Source organism: Homo sapiens, chromosome 14 (assembly GCF_000001405.40).
Source record: "Homo sapiens chromosome 14, GRCh38.p14 Primary Assembly".
Classification (NCBI taxonomy): domain Eukaryota; kingdom Metazoa; phylum Chordata; class Mammalia; order Primates; family Hominidae; genus Homo; species Homo sapiens.
Window position 1 is genome coordinate 59,395,259 of NC_000014.9, and position 3,608 is coordinate 59,398,866.

At 41.7% G+C, this 3,608-nt stretch overlaps 1 annotated feature.

Annotated features, from left to right (window-relative positions):
- Positions 354–863: an enhancer, noted in NCBI's record as "NANOG hESC enhancer chr14:59862330-59862839 (GRCh37/hg19 assembly coordinates)". NCBI's record gives its function as "activates a minimal SCP1, AML or CMV promoter by ChIP-STARR-seq in primed H9 embryonic stem cells {active_cell/tissue: H9 hESC(primed)}" and the evidence as "EXISTENCE:reporter gene assay evidence [ECO:0000049][PMID:30033119]".

The following is a 3,608-nucleotide window of genomic DNA, read 5'->3' on the forward strand; positions in this document are numbered from 1 at the left end:
AAATACCTCTTGATTTTTTTTTATTACAACAAGACATTTATAGGAGATTGACTCCAAAGGATAAGGATGGGGAGTGGGAGAGAGAGAGAGAGGGACCGAGGGAAAGAATGAGTGATGTGAGGAGGGGAGAGAAGAGAAGGGGAAGAAGGATGAGACTTAACTGACAACAGAAATATGAATGATGACTGATGGAAACAAGTGTACTCTAAGGGGCCCTTATGGCTTAGTATTTATGCCCTAATAAACAACCATTTGAACGAGTATTATACTCCTCAGTACCTAACCCTTTATAAAAAAGTTCTCTAAATTGTTATGCCCTAAAGGGATTTTAAACACCCTGCCAGCCCTCCCCGCAGTGTCCTTCCCCTTGGAAGAAGAAAAGAAGTTGGAGCCCACCAGGAAGTGCCAAACCCTTTTGACTTTGTCCTCTGTTACACAAACACACAAGAGCTCAGAAAGCACACACGTTTTTAGAGGGAGAATTCTTTCCCTTCTCCCAGTTCCCATGAGGACTGAGTTTTCTTCTGGCCTCTCCCTACCCATTTACTCAGTCTACCCTAGGGATTGGTAAATTTCAGAATAACAACAGGTTACGCTAATCTCATTCTGACCTTTTTCTCTTGAGAACAAGATGCTCAGAAGGGCTCTGCCGCATGGAGAGGCCTGCTGTGAGCCCATGACCCCTTGCAGTGGGGGGGCTGCTTTTTTCTAGGGCACAGTTAGCAGGCTTAGTTGTTCTCATTTTAAGCTACATCCTCCAACCAGGCTTCTATCAAATAAAAGTACAATTTTAAAAAAATCTTCTGTGTTAGCGTGCTGTCTGCCATAACAAAATACCACACACGAGAGCTAATATCCAGAATCTACAATGAATTCAAACAAATTTACAAGAAAAAAACAAACAACCCCATCAAAAAGTGGGCAAAGGATATGAACAGACACTTCTCAAAAGAAGACATTTATGTAGCCAACAGACACATGAAAAACGCTCACCATCACTGGCCATCAGAGAAATGCAAATCAAATGCATCTCACACTAGTTAGAATGGTGATCATTAAAAAGTCAGGAAACAACAGGTGCTGGAGAGGATGTGGAGAAATAGGAACACTTTTACACTGTTGGTGGAACTGTAAACTAGTTCAACCATTGTGGAAGTCAGTGTGGCGATTCCTCAGGGATCTAGAACTAGAAATACCATTTGACCCAGCCATCCCATTACTGGGTATATACCCAAAGGATTATAAATCATGCTGCTATAAAGACACATGCACACGTATGTTTATTGTGGCACTATTCACAATAGCAAAGTCTTGGAACCAACCCAAATGTCCAACAATGATAGACTGGATTAAGAAAATGTGGCACATATACAGCACGGAATACTACGCAGCCATAAAAAATGATGAGTTCATGTCCTTTGTAGGGACATGGATGAAACTGGAAACCATCATTCTCAGCAAACTATCACAAGGACAAAAAAACCAAACACCGCATGTTCTCACTCATAGGTAGGAATTGAACAATGAGAACACTTGGACACAGGAAGGGGAACATCACACACTGGGGACTGTTGTGGGGTGGGGGGAGGGGGGAGGGATAGCATTAGGAGATATATCTAATGCTAAATGATGAGTTAATGGGTGCAGCACACCAACATGGCACATGTATACATATGTAACAAACCTGCACGTTATGCACATGTACCCTAAAACTTAAAGTATAATAATATTTAAAAAAAAAATACCACACACTAGGCAGCTTAAACAACAGAAATTTACTTCCTCACAGTTCTGGAGGTTAGCAGTTTAAGGTCAAGGTATCAGGGTGGTTTCTAGTGAGGACTGTCTTCCTCACTTGCAGGCTGCCACCTTCTTGCTGCCTTCACCTGGCCTTTTCTCTTTGCGTGCAGAGAGACAGAGAGTGCACTCCAGTGTCTCTTCCTCTTCTTATTAGGACGCCCATCCTGTTGGATTAGGCTCCACCCTTTTGACTTCATTTAACCTTAATTATCTCCCAAAAGACCCTCCCTTCAAATATAGTCATATTGGGTCTTAGGGCTTCAATACATGAATTTTGGGAGGAAAAAATTAGGTCCATAACATCTCCCATCTGTCTTTCTTCAATTTGTTCAAAACCCAGAAGAGAAAGAGAGAAAAAGAGGTGTTACTTATTGGGGATCCCCTTAGAGATCCTAGAATCCTGCATATGCCCTTTCCTCCTAAGTTTCTTTTTCTTTTTTTTTTTTTTTTTTTCTCTTTGAGACTGAGTCTAACTCTGTTGCCCAGGCTGAAGTTCAGTGGCACAATCTCAGCTCACTGCAACCTCCGCCTCCCAGGTTCAAGTGATTCTCCTGCCTCAGCCTCCTGAGTAGCTGGGATTACAGGCGCATACCACCACGCCCGGCTAATTTTTGTATTTTTAGTAGAGACAGGGTTTCACCATGTTGGCCAGGCTGGTCTTGAACTCCTGACCTCAGGTGATCCACCCACCTCAGCCTCCCAAAGTACTGGGATTACAGGCGTGAGCCACCATGCCTGGCCCCTTTCCTCCTAAGTTTCTTAAACATATACTCTGTATATTCTGGACAACCAAAACATTAATAAAATTTAAGAATTCTGAAATGGATAAATATAGGTACTTTCACAGAATAAAAAACTCTCAAGGAATAAATCTTGAAGTAAATGCAAGACAATTTCCCAATTTTTTATAGGGCATAGTTGGGAGATATGTTATCATTTTTTTAATTTTTTTTTTTTTTTTTTCGACAGGGTGTTGCTCTGTCATCAAGGCTGGAGTGCAGTGGCAGGATCATGGTTCACTGCAGCCTCAACCGTTTAGGCTTAAGCCGTCTTCCTGCCTCAGCATCCTTTGTAGCTGGGACCACAGGTGTATGTCACCATGACCAGCTACTTTTTGCATTTTTTGTAGAGATAGAGTTTTGCCATGTTACCCTGGCTGATCTTGAACTCCCGAGCTCAAGCGATCCACCTGCCTCAGCCTCCCAAAGTTCTGGGATTACAGGCATGAGCCACCACACCTGGCTTCATTTTCATTTTGAAATCAGAAAAATTGAGTTTCAAATATTTTTATTTGAAGTTTTTATATTATAGAGTAAAAAATTATACATAGGAGGTTTTAAATCTCATATGTATACTCACAACTCAGATATTTACGTATCCAGTCCAGACCTCTGGATTTATATGTCCAACTTCCTACTCAATTTCTGAAGTAGAAAGTCTAGTGGATATCTCAAACCCAACACATTCAAAATCGAACTGATCTGTCTTAAACTTGCTCCTACTCTAGTCTGCTAGATTTTAAATGATAGCAACTCCATCTTTCTACTTCCTTTGGTCTAAAACCTTGAGGTCATCACTAACTCCGTCTGTCTTCACACAGCCCAGACACATTCCCATAGCAAATTCTTGTGGCTCTACCTACAATCCAGAATTTGATCTGTCCTCACAATCTCCACTGTTACTTCCCTCATTAAAGTATCATCATCTCTTTTTTGGGTTATTGCAGTGGCCTCCTTACCGGCCTCTCTGCTTCAGCCTTGCCCTCCCGTCTCCTGTCAATGGTCTATTCTCAACACAACAGCCAAAGT